The 16,230-nt window shown below is 41.2% G+C and overlaps 1 protein-coding gene and 1 long non-coding RNA gene across 4 annotated transcripts in view, besides 1 other annotated feature; one reads left to right on the top strand and one right to left on the bottom strand.

The window, feature by feature from the left end:
* The window catches only part of CNTNAP2 (contactin associated protein 2), a 2,304,198-nt gene that overhangs the window by 13,797 nt on the left and 2,274,171 nt on the right, over positions 1 to 16,230 (bottom strand). The window lies entirely within an intron of this gene.
* Positions 1 to 16,230, top strand: part of LOC105375554 (uncharacterized) — a 55,130-nt gene that overhangs the window by 29,566 nt on the left and 9,334 nt on the right. For 2 of the 3 annotated variants that reach the window (XR_928093.3, XR_007060576.1), the window contains exons 1-3: positions 11,089 to 11,175; positions 12,510 to 12,611; positions 15,421 to 15,539. This is a non-coding gene — a long non-coding RNA (uncharacterized LOC105375554). Of the gene's footprint in view, positions 1 to 11,088; positions 11,176 to 12,509; positions 12,612 to 15,420; positions 15,540 to 16,230 lie in introns of those variants that run through there. The other variant, XR_928094.2, reaches the window with a different exon arrangement.
* Positions 11,096 to 11,732: an enhancer, noted in NCBI's record as "H3K27ac-H3K4me1 hESC enhancer chr7:148092562-148093198 (GRCh37/hg19 assembly coordinates)". NCBI's record gives its function as "activates a minimal SCP1, AML or CMV promoter by ChIP-STARR-seq in primed H9 embryonic stem cells {active_cell/tissue: H9 hESC(primed)}" and the evidence as "EXISTENCE:reporter gene assay evidence [ECO:0000049][PMID:30033119]".

Raw genomic sequence — 16,230 nt, 5'->3', positions numbered from 1 at the left:
CTAAAATTATCCCGTGGGAATAAAACTGGTTTATATAAAAACATATAATAAAAACCTTGAATAAAAACCTTGGCTTTCTTTTTTAAACCTGAATCTTCTCTTCAAATTTATTCATTTACTTATTCACTAAATCTTTATAGAATGCCTACTATATGTCAGACTTCTTTCCAAGTGCTGAGGATATACAGTGAACAATAAAATAGACAAAGAATAAAGTTCTTTAGCTAATGAGAACTTCTTGGTCCGACATGGTCTGTTTATTCTACGCATCCTTGAAGAGTTTGGTTTATATAGTCTTTAGATTATATACTGAAGCATGGATGTGGTTTCAGTTATGAACTTGTCCATTTACAGTAAATTGCCTGATAAGTCATGCTACCCATAAACCATAAGCACAGGAAGATTTGGTTATGAATGTATACAATTCCCTGGCATAAGCCACCCTTCAAAGACCAAAAGCTATTTTTCAGGAATGAAAACTTGCACCGTTACTGCCCATCTTTTCCAGACCTTTTGACATTATAATTACTCTTCTCTGGACACTATTTAGTCCATATCCTTCTAGAAAGTCACCAAGCTTGTGAATAGTCTAGTTAAAATTAGAACCCAGGTGTAGGGTTCGTTCCAAAGTCAACAATCTTCTCTACCCTGCCTTTTGAAGGCTAGAAAGGGACAAGGAGTTGAAGGGTTGAGGAAGTCCCAGCTTGCAGACAGTTTGGCTTGGGTTGGGACTATGGGAGGAGGAGCCCTTTTAGGTGATGAGGAATTAATTAGTTTTGTATTGGACATATTGAGTTGGAGGTGCTAATGGGGCACCCAGGTGGAGATATTTACTAGATATTTGGATACTTTGTGAGTGAGTGATATTTCCTGTCTCCTTTTGATAAACGCAGAAATTTCCTGACCTCCTTTTTCTTTGTCTTCCCTTATCCCCTGCCCCGTCATGACCTTCTTTCTTTCTTTATTTTTTGAGATGGAGTCTCGCTGTGTCCCCCAGGTTGGAGTGCAGTGGCGCGATCTCAGCTCACTGCAAGCTCTGCCTCCTGGGTTCACGCCATTCTCCTGCCTCAGCCTCCCGAGTAGCTGGGACTACAGGCGCCCGCCAACATGCCCGGCTAATTTTTTGTATTTTTAGTAGAAACGGGGTTTCACCGTGTTATCCAAGATGGTCTCGATCTCCTGACCTCGTGATCTGCCGGTCTTGGCCTCTTAAAGTGCTGGGATTACAGGCGTGAGCCACCGCGCCCGGCCGACCTTCTTTAAATAATATGTACCTTCGAAATATATTAAATATAGTGATAAAAAATTACAATGGTAGGCCAGGCACGGTGAGTCCAAGGCAAGTGGATCATGAGGTCAAGAGATCGAGACCATCCTGGCCAACATGGTGAAACCCCGTCTCTACTAAAAATACAAAAATTAGCTGGGCATGATGGCGTGCGCCTGTAGTCCCAGCTACTCGGGAGGCTGAGGCAGGAGAATCACTTGAACCTGGGAGGCAGAGGTTGCAGTGAGCTGAGATCGTGCCACTGCACTCCAGCCTGGTGACAGAGCGAGACTGTCTCAAAAAAAAAAAAAAAAAAAAAAAAAAAAAAAAATTAGCTGTGCATGGTGGCACGTGCCTGTAGTCCCAGCTACTCAGGAGGCTGAAGCAGGAGAATTGCTTGAACCGCTTGAACCTGGGAGGCGGAGGTTGTAGCGAGCCGAGATTGCACCACTGCACTCCACCCTGGCGACAGAGCGAGACTCCGTCTCAAAAAAAAAAAAAAAAAAAAAAAAAATTACAATGGTAATCTGGTTCCCTTGAGGTTACGGATAAAAACAGTAGCAGAACATACGGAGATAGTGGAAGGAGTTACCTGAGATGACGCAAGGAGAATGACAAGAGCTAGGGAGGAACATTTAAAAATATTCCACGATTGTTTTGGGTGTAAATCTGAACTCCTTGGCATAGGGAAGAAAGACTCCCTTGAGCTGGATTTCTCTCCTGCCCCTTCCTTCCTGGGGTCACTTTTCCAACTCAACATTCTAGGTATAGGTGATATGGACAGGAGGCAGGGAAATACTGGGTAGAAGAGGGTGGAGTCCCTGGCAAGGGTTCCACACACAAACCTGAGCCCACAGCCCTAAATGAGAAATTCACAGCCCTGTTTTCCCACCCAAATGCTGCTTTTTCCAAAACCAGCCTGGCCTGCCATGCCCCCCAGTCCTGTAACCATAAAAACCCCAAGCTCCACTGGCAGAGGAGCAGAGCAGTGTGGCAGAGGAGAGAAGAGAACAAGCGGCTGAACATCAAGAGGAGAAGCAGCATCTGAATGTTGAAGAGGTAACTGGACAGTTGGAAAGCAGTTTCGCTGAGGATGACTGAAGAGAATTATCTTCCCATTTCATCCCTTTCCAGCTCCCCATCCCACTGAGAGCCACCTCCATCACTCAATAAAACTGTGTGACCTGATTCTTCCTGGATGCCAGACAAGGACCTGGGTACCAAGAGGGCAGGGGGTAAAAGTCTGTCACCCTGTCTCCAATGAGCTGGTTAACACTTAGCCATCCCCAGACAGTAACTGTTAAAACAGCATTAATTGTAACATACCCCTAGATGCTGCTGTGGGGCTGGAGACCAAAAGCGTTCACCCCAGCGGTGGCACCCACTTGCCTGTGTGCTCGCCGTCCCGCAAAAGGTTTGAGTGAGCTGTACCCTGTTGCAAGTCCAGTGAAGGGGTCTAGGGAACTCTCCCGTCTCATAGGAGTTCCTGATGCCTCCAGTTGACACACCTTTTCTCTGCCATATGGCACTCTGTCTGGACATCTGGTTTACTATCCTTTTCTTTGTCCATCAGATCTTACCACTTTCCTGAAAGTATCCTCAGCGACCTCAGACTGTGTGTCCCTTTTCTCAATGGGAATAATCTTAATTCTTGTGACTTCTTACATGACAGTCATCCTCTTCAAGTCAGAGACCAATCTTAATCATGTTTGCAGTTCCAGTGACTAACAATGCAGTAGCAAGGGCTAAATGGATGTTCATTGGCTGGCATAATTAAAATCAGTTGATTAAGAGGTATGTAAACATCGGTAGCTTCTTCTGATAACAAAACCTTCTATGCAGGTAGAATTTTGAAAGTCAGATGCCTAGTCTCAACTAAATCCTTACAGTGAGGCAGGTTTCTTATTCTTCCTAACAAAGGAGATGGACATATTGAATATAGAAAATATATTAGTGACTCCTAGTCCGCTGGACTTTGGTTATTGTTAGAAAATAACTTGTAGAAAATCCTCAGGTCAGGAATCCTTATACATTTCAAGGGCAAAATCTTTTGTTTGTTTAGTGTGAGCACTCCTATTTTCCTGGATTTATTTATGCTGTAAGCCTGGTTGTCCTAATGCATGTGAGTGCTTACCCCCTTGAGGCAAAGCCATTTTATTCTGGCGATCAACACAATTGCTATTTTGATAGATACATTTTATTGCCACTGACCTTTCCCCTGGGAACAAACATCCTCTTGGAAATGCGCACAGAGAAAAACGGAGACCAAGAAACATGACTGAGACATGGATAATAAAGCTCACCTATTCTACTGCTAACATCCACGTTCCCCTCACCCAGCTTGCTGGGAGAGCTGAACAATTTTAGTGGTGTTGGAGTATCAAGGAACCTATACTTTGGGAAACAGTGAGTAGGTCCAAATTTGGCGTGTTAATTTAAAACAGACTAGCTATAACATTCTCAAGACCAGTCTTTCATCAAATAAGCACAGACTCTATTCAACATACTTCTCTTGCGGATCCCCAAATGACACTCCATGTTAACCACCAAAGCATGGTGCCATTCCAGTCTGATTTAGAGTCTTATAAAAGCCCACATATTTCTGCATATTTCCCTTGCACGTGCCCTTGTGTGTAGTCATCCGTGTTCCTATATTTGTAGACCATGTTTCCATTGCACCACTCAGAGATTAGCTCTCCTCCCCTCCTCCACCAAGCACAGGCCAGGCAGGACATATTGCTGGAGGAATTGATGATGGGAGAGTCTTCTCCCAGGAACGTACTTAGTAAACATCCTGGCTAAGGCTTTAGCGCCCACACACATATGCACTACTATGCTCCTCACCCAAGGAGAAGTATGTTTGTCTGTCCTAGTGAATAAGGAGAGAGTAAAGTTTTTTTTTTTTTTTAACTACAGAAGATAAATTTGGTGGTTGTGGTTCTTATTTACTAAGTTTCAAAATATTTAGGCTCAGAAACCAATTGCAAACAAAACATATTGAAGTGCATATAAAAATAAATTGAAATATCTAACATAAAACCCCCCAAAATGAAAGGCTCTGGAAGCTTCAGGTTGTCATATATCAGAGACAAAAAAATTAGATCATATCTGACATCTCCTAGAGAAAATATCTCCATGGAAACCACTGGAGTTTCAGCATCTAAAGTAATAATTTGAGACACTTCAACAAAACTGCTGCTATTAATTATAATTTAATTTAAATTGCAACATTATTTTTACAGTGGGTCCGGGCGAGATGAGGTATCTCTGCCTTTGTTCTTAGCTTCTTTGTTTTATTACATTTTATTCTGTTTTCAAATCTGAGTTATATAGCAGAAAATGATTGTTTTTCTTAAATAATGTTTTTAGCCATTCACTATTGATATTTCTGAAACAGATATGAAAACAAATGGTTATCGACTAAGATGCTGAAGATATAAGGGACATTGTTTTATTTTAAGAGAGGATCCCTGCTAATCACATTTTTGGGAGGGAGCGATTTCTCTAAGTCAGCAGGTTTTTCCGTAGGCAGAGCATTATGTGGCATGTACTGACATGATCCTGAGTTTCACATTTCTCTCTCTACCCTTCACTTCCTAGTTTCTAAAAAAAAAGTAGCCAGCCAGCATTTCCAATTTCAAACAGGGGAAGGTGATTGTGACTTTTTGGCTCCTGACTTGAAAAGTTAAACAAGCTTTACATTTCCAGCTTCTTAAAGGAATGAGAAAGTGGCAGCTGCTTTCATGATTGTCCAAGATCCAGTGACCAAAAGAGGTCGAGTGAAGAGAAACAGAATAAACAAATTTGTCGTCATCGGCTATATGTTATGATTGTTTAAACCAACTTTTATATGAAAGGACTGAGTGGGCAATTGATTCCATTGTACTCCCTCTTTCCATCAGTTACTTAGTTAACTTCTGAATTGTCTCAATTGCCTTTCAGGAAAAAGATTTCTTAATGCTCTCAGAGTAGGCTGACATTGTACTCTTTTGTCTGATTAACGATAAAGAGGTATTTTAATTGAAAATAGCTCATTAGGCCGGGCACAGTGGCTCACGCCTGTAATCCTAGCACTTTGGGAGGCTGAGGCAGACAGATCATGAGGTCGGGAGATCGAGACCATCCTGGTTAACACGGTGAAACCCCGTCTCTACTAAAAATACAAAAAAGTAGCTGGGTGTGGTGGTGGGTGCCTGTAGTCCTAGCTACTCGGGAGGCTGAGGCAGGAGAATAGCATGAACCCGGGAAGCGGAGATTGCAGTGAGCCGAGATTGTGCCACTGCACTCCAGCCTGGGCAAAAGAGCAAGACTCCATCTCAAAAAAAAAAGAAAAAAGAAAAAAATAGCTCATTATTAATATATGCTCAGATTTTGTATTTCATAAAATAAACACGAAGGTAAGGTATTTGGTGTCCATTTTCATGTGAGATAAATGTCTTGTTATTTCTCAGGTGGGCAAATTGTTCCAGTCCTAATGTTTGGTTATAATTGTTTATAAATCAATGGTCAAAGTTATTGTAAAATATTGTGGGCACTTGTAAAGTATTGATTGTGACAGCTGGCCTTTATAGATTCTGTAGTTCCACAACCTCTCTACAGTTAAGGAGGCAAAAATGCAGAATGGATGATAATTAGGTGAAAGCCACATGGTTGGTGGGTGCCAGAGTCGCTGCTACGAGGACGAGGTCTTTCGACTCCTCATTCAGGACTCTCTCATGTATCTTACTGTAGTTCTCAGGGTGAACCTTGAAAGTCTGGATCAGAGAGCCTCACTGCCAGGAGCAGCTATCCAGCTGGCCCTCCACATCCACGGGTTCCCCAACTGTGGATTCAACCAAACTCAGATCAAAAATATTCGGGAAAAAAAGTTTCAGCTGTACTGAACACGTACAGATATTTTTTTCTTGTCATTGTTCCCTAAACAATCCAGCATAACAAATCTTTTTTTTTTTTTTGAGGCGGAGTCTCACTCTGTCGCCCAGGCTGGAGTGTAGTGGCACAATCTCAGCTCACTGCAACCTCTGCTTCCTGGGTTCAAGTGATTCTCCTGCCTCAGCCTCCTGAGTAGCTGAAATTACAGGCATGCGCCACCATGCCCGGCTAATTTTTGTATTTTTAGTAGAGATTGGGTTTCACCATGTTGGTTAGGCTGGTCTCGAACTCCTGACCTCGTGATCTGCTTGCCTCAGCCTCCCAAAGTGCTTGGATTACAGGCGTGAGCCACTGTGCCTGGCCAACAACTCTTTACATAGCATTTATGTTGTATTAGGTATTACAAGTAATCTACAAGAGACAATTTAAAGTATATGGGAGGGTGTGTGTAGGTTATATGTAGGTATTTACCACACTATTTGCTATCAGAAACTTGAGGATCTGTGGATTTGGGTGTCTTTGGGGGTCCTGGAACCAATTTCCTGTAAACACTGGGGCAGGACTGGAGCACTTGGTTAACAGTGCCGTACGGCTCTTCGTTGAGGTTTGTCGCGGCTTCTTTTCCTTTCCGCTGCAGGGAGTTTATGAATTCATGCTGATGTTAACAGGAGTGCAAGAAGGAAGAAGCCCCAAATCTAGGGGAATATAAATTCGGGAAGTGCCATTTAAACCCCGGTCTGAAGGAAAACGCTGTTTCTCCTGCTGCACAGTTTCCAGAATGCGCGTGGCGGCAGCAGGGTGCCCCGGAAGGGGCTGTCACTTCCTATGCATGCAGGGCTCTGAATGTCAGGGACAAAGGGCTCTGCACTTGTGTAACTGGTGGGTTCTTCGGCCTTGAAAAAGTTGCTGAACCTCCTTAGGCTTTTTCTTCAATTTCTATCTCAGTCTGAGATGCCTTTGGGGGAGAGCACTCTGATTCAGACCTTTCAAACATTAAGGGGCATACGGATGCCCTGAGCTTTGGTAAAAATGCTGCTTCTGCCTGAGTTGGTCTCGGGTGGGGGACCTGGGCATCTGTATTTCTAACAGGCTCCCAGAGTGCTTGAATACCTGCCTGACTTTCAGTTGCAGAAATTTAATGTAGACCATTGGTGACTCAGGTCTTCAGCTGCTCGTGTGTGTGTGTGTTTTAATTTAAAGCAGTGTCTGAGAGGGAGCTGAAATAATTCCTTCTGAGAACCTTGTCCTTTTTCCCTTGGCCGAATCATTTGTGTGAATTTAATGATTTGCCTGCCAGAATGCCCCACAGTTCGACTCCGTTAGTTCTATTTCTTTTTAGTGTTGTGAAAGCAATAATAGGAACACTGTGTTAATTTCAGAGAGAATTATTTACTATTATTTTGAATGTTGGAGAGGGGGAGTTTATTACAGTTTAGGAAAAAACAGCCAAAGAGTTTAATAAATGGTTATCTTAGTATGACCTTGGATACCTTTCCTGGTTCAAAGCAAAAATACAAGTTGAATCTCTAAAGCAAGTTTATCAGGGAGGAAAAATATTGGGATGTTGGCATTTAGGTTCTTGATGCTATGGATGCGTTTAAAGGCATATATGAGAGAGAACAGATGCATTTTAAAATTTTCTTTTTAGAGACAGGGTCTTGCTATGTTGCTCAGGCTGATCTTGAACTCCTGGACTCATGTAGCTGGGACTATAGGCACGTGCCACTGCGCCTGGCTAGACGTATTTTTAAAAATACTGTACCGTGGATTTTTTTGAAGTTTATGGATTTGTTTTTTGACAAAACATTCTTACTGCTGGTTCTGCTGCTGCATGGGTGCAATGCGGGATACAGCCAGATCAGGGTGGAAAGCCTGAAGCCATACGGGCATATTATGGTATGTCAGACAGCCTCGGTGACTGCCTCTGGCTTTATGGAATGCTGTGTCTCAGATATGGGTGCTCACCAAGTTTTGTGAACACACCTGCTATACAGGAGTCTCAGCTAAGAGAACTTGTGGTTTCCTTATTAGCAAAGCAGTATTAGCAAGAATTGGTTGTTTGCTGAGTCATAGAAATAGCCCCAGTTTCTAGGGAGAGGGTGGCTGAGAAAATTATGATAGTTAAAAGAGGAAAGCAACCAATTATAGTAAGTCAAAAAGGGATATTTTTAAGGACATTCTCTGATGTATTTCACCTTTCCTCTTAGGCAGTGGTCAGGGATTCGCACAATTCATAAGATGAAAGTCTTCAGGAGACCCTGGATCTATTGTCTTCAGACTTCTGCAGAGAAACACATCCCCTGGGCATTATGCAATTATCAGTAAGGGCTTTGGACTTCCATGATGTATGGCTTGGGAGCTCAGTGAAAATAACATTTTATCACCTTAAGTCTACTCAAGAGATGCGCTTCATCATTTGTGAGAATACTTAGGCGCATGTTATTTTAGGACTCAAGCAAGGATGAAGGGATTCCTTTTACTCTCCCTCTGTGGAAATTTCTAGTAAATTCAAAGGCCATACTTTGGCTGTGGATGGACCCTTTGGAAATGGCTGAATATTATTGATCTGCTTTGTCATCCTGTGTCTTTCAAAGGAGTTCAGTGAATAATTAAATATTTTTAAATGCTTTTTATCTTCTGCTGGAACCTCGGTATCTCAACTTGCAGAAGACGCTGTTTTCAGCTTTACACGATGAATGTGCTTCTGTGCTCTGTGGACCAGTTCTGCCAATAGGCATGGGATGTTTGTGTTGTAACTGCTATTTCATCAAAATGTGAGGTTGATCCTTTTTATTCTTAAGTTTTCAGAAACTAGTATAATACATAGATGAGGAGCGTTGCTGAGAACATGGTGGAGTCACCCAGACCACAGACAGCTGACCAGATTCTGTCTCCACTGTGCGGTTAGAAGGGGGGCATGGGCAAACCTAAAGTGCTTTTAAAAATTAATTCTACACATATTTTAAGTCTTTTATGAATGCCCAGTTCGGCTCTTGGTTTTGAAATACTCTTTTCGGTTGCATTAGCACAAGGGAAATTTATAATTCCAATCCCAAGACAATGTATTTTCTTCCAAGAAGGCTGACTTCAGAGAACTGAGTATAAAAGCTCCATGCTAAATATGCTTCCATTGTTGTCTGAGCTGTTCTCTTCTTGAGTTAACCTGAGATCTCACAAGACAACTAGTTTTGCTTCCTGACAGGTGAAATGGCAAATGGCCATCAAGGAGAAACTGATGAAACAAATTATCCTTGGTTATTAAAGCTTCCTGATGGTTCCCCACACCATTCCTCCCTGGTGCCTGGCTCACATCATTATAAAGATAGCGTGATAAAGTCCTGGCATGAGCCGTGTGGCTCTGTCACAGTTCTTCTCATTCATGTCAACGGAGTGTGAAAAAATATTTAATTGGCTCTAGCAGCCTTGGGGATGATTTATTCCCTGTCGAAAAGGGGAATGTGGAACAAGAAAAAGCAAAGTGTATTTAGTAGCAGGGATTTCACCAACAGGTATGCAAATTACATATCCTTCCAGACTTCTGCATTATATTTAAAGGGTGATAGAAAATAGTAAGACAGTTCAGAATAAAGAACTGGAATTATATGTTTTACTCCAAAATTTTCATTGAGAGGAAGGAATAGTGGGAAAAAAATAACTGAATCTGAAATATATGCATTTTCCACTTCATAATGCTAGTCTCTGCATACTTTAGAGTAAGGTGCTATAAACTCAGTCCCCATTGCTTCACAATCCTGATGCACACCAGGAATCCTCTGGGATGGGGAACAGGCATTGGGATTTGTGAAAAGCTCCCCAGGTGACTGATGTGCAGCCAGGGTTGTGCACCGCACTTCTGTGGCCACCCAGTCAGTGTTTGCTGAGGGAATGAATACATTTATTTTCTCTGAGCTGCATTTTCCTTATCTTTAAAATGTGGCTGATAATGTCCACTTTGCCTACCACATGTGGCCATTCCAGGATAAAACAAAATCATGCATTAAAGCATTTCAACAAATAAAATAGTTTACAAATTTAAGTTATCACTACTTTTGTCTGTATCCTTTCCAGTTTTCTAAAAGTTAAAATTCCCGTCAATGATTGAAAATCATTTTAGCATGTTTAAAGGGGAATTTCCAAAACAATTCATCTTATTTTCTATGTTTAAAATAACTGTACCCCACATTCATATGGCTATTTATGTACAATTACATTTCAACATAAAGCTGATTTTAATTTTTTAAAAGTCTTTCAGCGTTGCTCTCAGGAACAAACTCAACAGCAGAATTAGGAATCTGCATCCGTCTTTAGAATTTCTGAATAGTCTATGCAGAGCACGTGGAATCAGACAAAGATCTCAAAGGAGTGAAGCAATTTATCATGTTTAGTTATTGGTATTTATAAAAGGACTTTTCTCTGAAAAGCATGTGGTGATGTGTTAAAAACCTCATCAGGATAATGCTTCTGCAACTGTAGAGATCATAGCAAGGACATGAGGTGCTGATTGGCCAGCAGAGGTGGAACTAACATTTCCAGGTGGTGACTGACAGAGATTCCCCTGTGAGAATTCACACCTGGGAATTCTGACAATTGTCTTTTTAAATGAGGCCGTAAAAGAAGTGATGGCGGATAATTTAGAGGGTGTTGTGCTCCTCTGAGTGCTTCCATAGCTGAGTGATATGGTGCTGTAACAGAAGCATGATACTGAAGAATACTCAAAAATGCGGTACAGTAGGAAGCATCTGAATGGGGGATCGCTGGGGGTAAGGAAAGACACACAAGTCAAGGGATAACACTGAGCTCAACTCGCCTCCCTTTTCATGGGCTACTCATAGCATTCCTGTAGCACGAGCATGACGCAAAAATGAATACTGTGACTTGCTGGAGTCAGTGGTTCTGCCATCAACAGAGAAGTCACCATGGCAACATGTACAACCGCGTTGCCCCGCACTTAGCCAGCCCCACGTGACACAGGCTGACAGCTGCAATGATTTCCATGCACAGACCCCAGGAAAATGCACCTTTGAGTGCCATGCCAGGTGGGGTGGGGGTCGGAGGGTGGACAGCCCAGGGAGAAGAACGGGACAGAGTCCTAACCTCCCTGGGGTTCAAAATCTATCGTAGGGGATGAAGGGAAAGAAAGGTAGAGGAAAATTAGGAATGAAAGAAATTCGCGGCAGGGGAAAAAACAATGACCTTGGAGATAGTTCCAAAGCTGTATGTTTGTGCCGGTTTTGCTTTTTTATCACTGGAGTTTCAGAGAGTTAAGTGATCCTGGTTAAGACAGAACAGAAGTCTTTGAATAAAGGCAGCCCCTGACACGGCCAGGCCTGTGGAGCCACTAGAAAGCAGCCCGTCTACACAGAGGATGGCCTGTGAGGTGTTCGATGCTGAAGGGGAATCCAACCCTGCTGCCAGTCATGTTTAGCCACTTAAGTGACGTTTTGCTCTTTGATTATTTCTTCATCATGGCTGAGCCTTGACAGAGCGCACCCCCAACTGCTTTTCAAAACACAAGCCTGCCAAGTCTATTCTCTCAGTGATGTGGGAAGGCTTTGGCAACTTACGCCAGCCTCTAAGTTCTTTTCAGGTCCCTTAGCAAAAAGTCTAGTGCAAGCCATTGGTGTCAATTACATCTGGAGGGTGCAGTCCTGGAGGCGGGGCTGGGGCAGCAGAGGTGTGGTCAGAAGAGAGCATGGCTGGAGTTTAAGATTTGTTGACTTCGGTTCACATTCTTATAAGACCATGATACACACACCCCACCAAGAAGGAAAATAAGAGAGAGAGCCAAACATTCAAATTAGAAAGTTAGAGGCCAGCAAATATAAATTTAAAGAAGACACGACAGTAGAAAGAAAACAAAGAATTGACAAATAAATCTAAGAGCTGGTTCTTTGAGAAAAGAAAAAAAAAAAGCCACATAATCTAATCAATAAGGGGGGGGGGTCAACAGAAACATTCAATATAAAAAACACGAAAAAGGGAATGGAAATTAAATTATTAACAAGTTTCTGTTCAACTCCACAGTAATGAGTTTGAAAACCTAGGTTAAATGCACGAATTTCTAGAAAAAGATAAAATAACGGGTATTATCCTAGATGAGAAAGAAAATCTAATTAGACAGATTATCATAAAATAACTTGAGAGAGTTGTCAAAGATCTGCTCCCACAAGAAGCAGTGGGCTCAAGTGGTTTTCCAGGGGAAACCTATGAAATCTACCAGAGGCAGTGCCTCAAGGCTGCTTATCTCCTTGCCACTCCCAGTGTGTTCCAGGGACCCGCTGCATCAGCAGCACCTGGGAGCTTGTTGGAAATGCAGAATCTCTAATCCCATGTTTGACCAGCTGAATCTGCATTTGCTAATTTCCCCCAGGTGATTCTAAGCACATTAAAATCTGGATGACACTTATCTGAATCATTTCGCAACTTGGAGAGAGATGGAGAAGACACGCATGGTGTAACTGGGCATCACCAGGTAATGAACTTATACATAAACCTTAATCCCAGTAAAAATTTTAAACAATTCCAATAAAATGATTAAAATTCTCAAATCCACATGGGAAAAGCAAATGTGCAAGGATGAACAGGAAAATTCTGGGAAAAAAAACTCAGAAAAAAAGGGAAATTAGCTCTATGAGCCACTAAATGTGATAATAAAAGCTCAATGATAAGTACTGCAGTTTGCTCCCATGTCACAAGGCATCATATCAATGTAATAGACCAGAGAGTCCAGTAGGGACTCAGAAATGAAGGGAATTTAGAAGATGGTAAAGGTGGAGAGGATGGAGCCTCAACCAATGGGGCTGGAACAGTGGGCCATTTGGGAAAAAATAAAGTGAGATTTTTACCTTCCACCTTCCACCCAAATAAATTTCCAGGGAAGAAAATACGTAGAACTTACAAATAAAACACAAAATTATTATAAAAAACATGGAATAATTTAAAAAATAAGTTCTAAATGGAGAAGGTATGTCACAAAACCCAAAAGCCATAAAACACTTTACATTTCACCATGTAAAATTTAGTAACTTTTACATGGAAAAAAAAATCCCATAAATTCAAAAAAATTGAGATGAAACAAGGAAAACATTAAAAATACTAATTTACTTAATATATTAAGAATACTTATAAATCAATAGGAAAGAATATAAAGATATAAATAATTATTGGAGCAAAGAATATAAAGAGGGAGTTTATGGAAAAATAAATATAAATGATATATAAACATATGCAAAGATACTTAACCCAACTCATAATTAATGAAATACAAACTATAACAAGAAAATTTTATTTTTCATATAGAACAGCCACATTTAAAAGAATAATATGATGCACTGTTTTGGTGAGGATGTGGGGAAAAGGTATTCATAGATTGCTGGACTGTCAATCGGATTATATCATTAGAGGATGGTTTGTAGTAGTATCAAAATTAAAAACACACATATCCTTTGACTCAACAAAATCATGGATACAATGTGATTTTCTATGAAAACACTGTAGAAACTGATTTTCTATGAAAACACTGTAGAAACAAAAGGTGGGATACAACTAAAATGACCAGGCAAAAATAGGTAAGACTAATACCATAGTTGATTTGAGATACATAAATGCGCTTGGTGTTTTTGCAGGAAAAGTGGAATTTGGATCTTTGCAGGAAAATGCACATTAGCAAGCAAGGGATGATAGTTTTTCTTCACACGATTAAGTGTGAACTGTGTTGGTGACTGAAGAGGGAAAAAGACAAATAACATAATAAAAAGACTGAGTGTGAGAGATAAAAATGCATTAATCATGCAGTCTTAGCATAAGGAGAGAAAAGGGATCTGTTCAGAAATAATTCAGATGTAATTATAAGAGCAGGAATGATTACTTTTAAGTGCTTGCAGGTGGTAAAGAAAACCAATGATCAGCTTGTAGTTAGGTAGAAAACAGAATAGATGATATATGTAATTTTAAAAAGTTCTTTATATCCATAACTCTTTGCACATGAAGATATAAAAATATTTTATGGCCAGATGATAGAAAGGAAACTTGGAATATAGACAGAAATCAACTTAGAAGTCATAACGATGGAGGTAAGAGGTCTTCAGAAACCAATCTGTGGCCAGTGGTAAAGTGTCCGATGTGGTGACGGGAAGCCTGAGTGAGTTCCTAGCTCAGTGCTGGGTATACTCAAGTCTAATGGGGGTATGGGGTTGTTACACTGAGTGATCCCAAGTGCCAAGTTCCATCTAGTTCCTAATATATCTGGGAGAAGACCCACGTGCCTAAGAGGGCTGGTTTTCAGCCACTCTGCCAACCTGAGTGAATCCACTGGACCAGCTTGGCAGGGGATTCTCAACCCTGGATTCTTGACAATCCTGGCCTTGGTTCTGGGGGAGGTGGAGAATTGGGTGTTAACTCCCTTCCCTCCACTCCTGCTTCTGAATTTTCCATCTCCTACCCACTTCCCTGTTGGAGGAGCTGTGAGAATTCCTGGTCAAGGACCTCCCAGTGTCAGATGCAGGTTAGCGTTAGGGCAGAGAACCAGATAACTTAAGGTTACAGTGGATGCTGTGAATTCACCTGCTAGCAATTTACAGAAGGACTCCCAGGTCCTTTCTGGGGTGAGATGCACCACACATCACATACCATGCAAACTTTGCTGAGAATCTAGCCTGGACCTACTAGAAGTCCTTTAAAATAACTAGCTGTGGCCAGGCGCAGTGGCTCATGCCTGTAATCCCAGCACTTTGGGAGGCTGAGGCGGGCGGATCACGAGGTCAAGAGATCGAGACCATCCTGGCCAACATGGTGAAACCCCGTCTCTACTAAAAACACAAAAATTAGCTGGGTGTGGTGGTGCGTGCCTGTAGTCCCAGCTACTCAGGAGGCCGAGGCAGTAGAATTGCTTGTACCCCGGAGGTGGAGGTTGCAGTGAGCCGAGATCACGCCTCTACACTCCAGCCTAGTGACAGAGCGAGACTCCATCTCAAATAATAATAACAACAACAACTAGCTGCAATCTTTACAACTAGAGGATCCCTTAGGAAATGAAACTTTACATCTTAAAATGCTTCATCTATTTTAATGATATTTTAAAGAAGATCCTAGGATGTGGCTTTTGGTCTGACGTATTCTGTATCAAATATCACGAATGTGATAAAACACTCTAAGGCTTAACACAAACGCCTTTTAAAGCAGCTTGGTGTGCAGTTTGGAGTTGCTCCTTAGTGCAGAAATTTATGGGATCAGACTCTTGGATTTATTTTTTCTGGTGTTTGTTTTGTTTTTGTATTTTACAGAATGTGCACTGCCATCTGTGGCTGTCTTCCTGCTGGCAAATCCTTTTCATTCCAAGCAAATAAGATTCCCTAAATTAGACAAAAAGGAAGAAACACAACAGAGTCCATAATTCTGAGAGGTAAATCACGGCAATTGCCTGGCATTCTGTGACCTTAAAATAAACCTTAACTCAGGGCTGGGGGTTACTTTTTCTACCTTGTAACTACTGTTCTAAAAATATTCCTAAGGACCATATAATGGTTTAGAAACAGGCTGTACTTATTATCAAAGAGGGAAATAACTAGAAGAAAAAAAGATTGGATGTTTCCAATAGAGCAGAATTGTTTTAAATCAAGTCAACTTAAATCATAATGTGTAAGTCTTTTGTTTACCTCATCCCCCTATAAAAATGTGTTCTTAAAGCCCCATGCTAGGCCCTAGCGCTTGGGGTGATCTTTCTCTACTGCCCAGTGTTTCCCAAACTCCAATCATGTGAAAATCACCTTCATATTTTTCTTGACATATACTGTAAAATCCAAGTATTATTTATTTACTTATTTTCACAAAATTGGTTAAATTTCTTATTTATATAAATCTATTGATAAAACTTTACATCCCTACTGAGTAATTCTATTGCCTGTGAGGCACTAACCAGAAGCCTGTTCTCTCTTTATTATAAGGTAAAATACAATCATGGGAGAGGTGTTAAAAGCGTGCCAGAACCAAATAGAGACTTTCTCTTTATAAAATCAGAAGGACTGAAAGACAAATGAACAGGAAATGACTTGCTTTGTATGTTACACGAGGCCATGTCTATTTGCTTCCCATAA

The sequence above is a fragment of the Homo sapiens genome, chromosome 7 (genome assembly GCF_000001405.40).
Source record: "Homo sapiens chromosome 7, GRCh38.p14 Primary Assembly".
NCBI classification, from domain to species: domain Eukaryota; kingdom Metazoa; phylum Chordata; class Mammalia; order Primates; family Hominidae; genus Homo; species Homo sapiens.
Note: the sequence above shows the minus strand (reverse complement) of the source record. Positions and strands in the feature narration are given on the sequence as shown.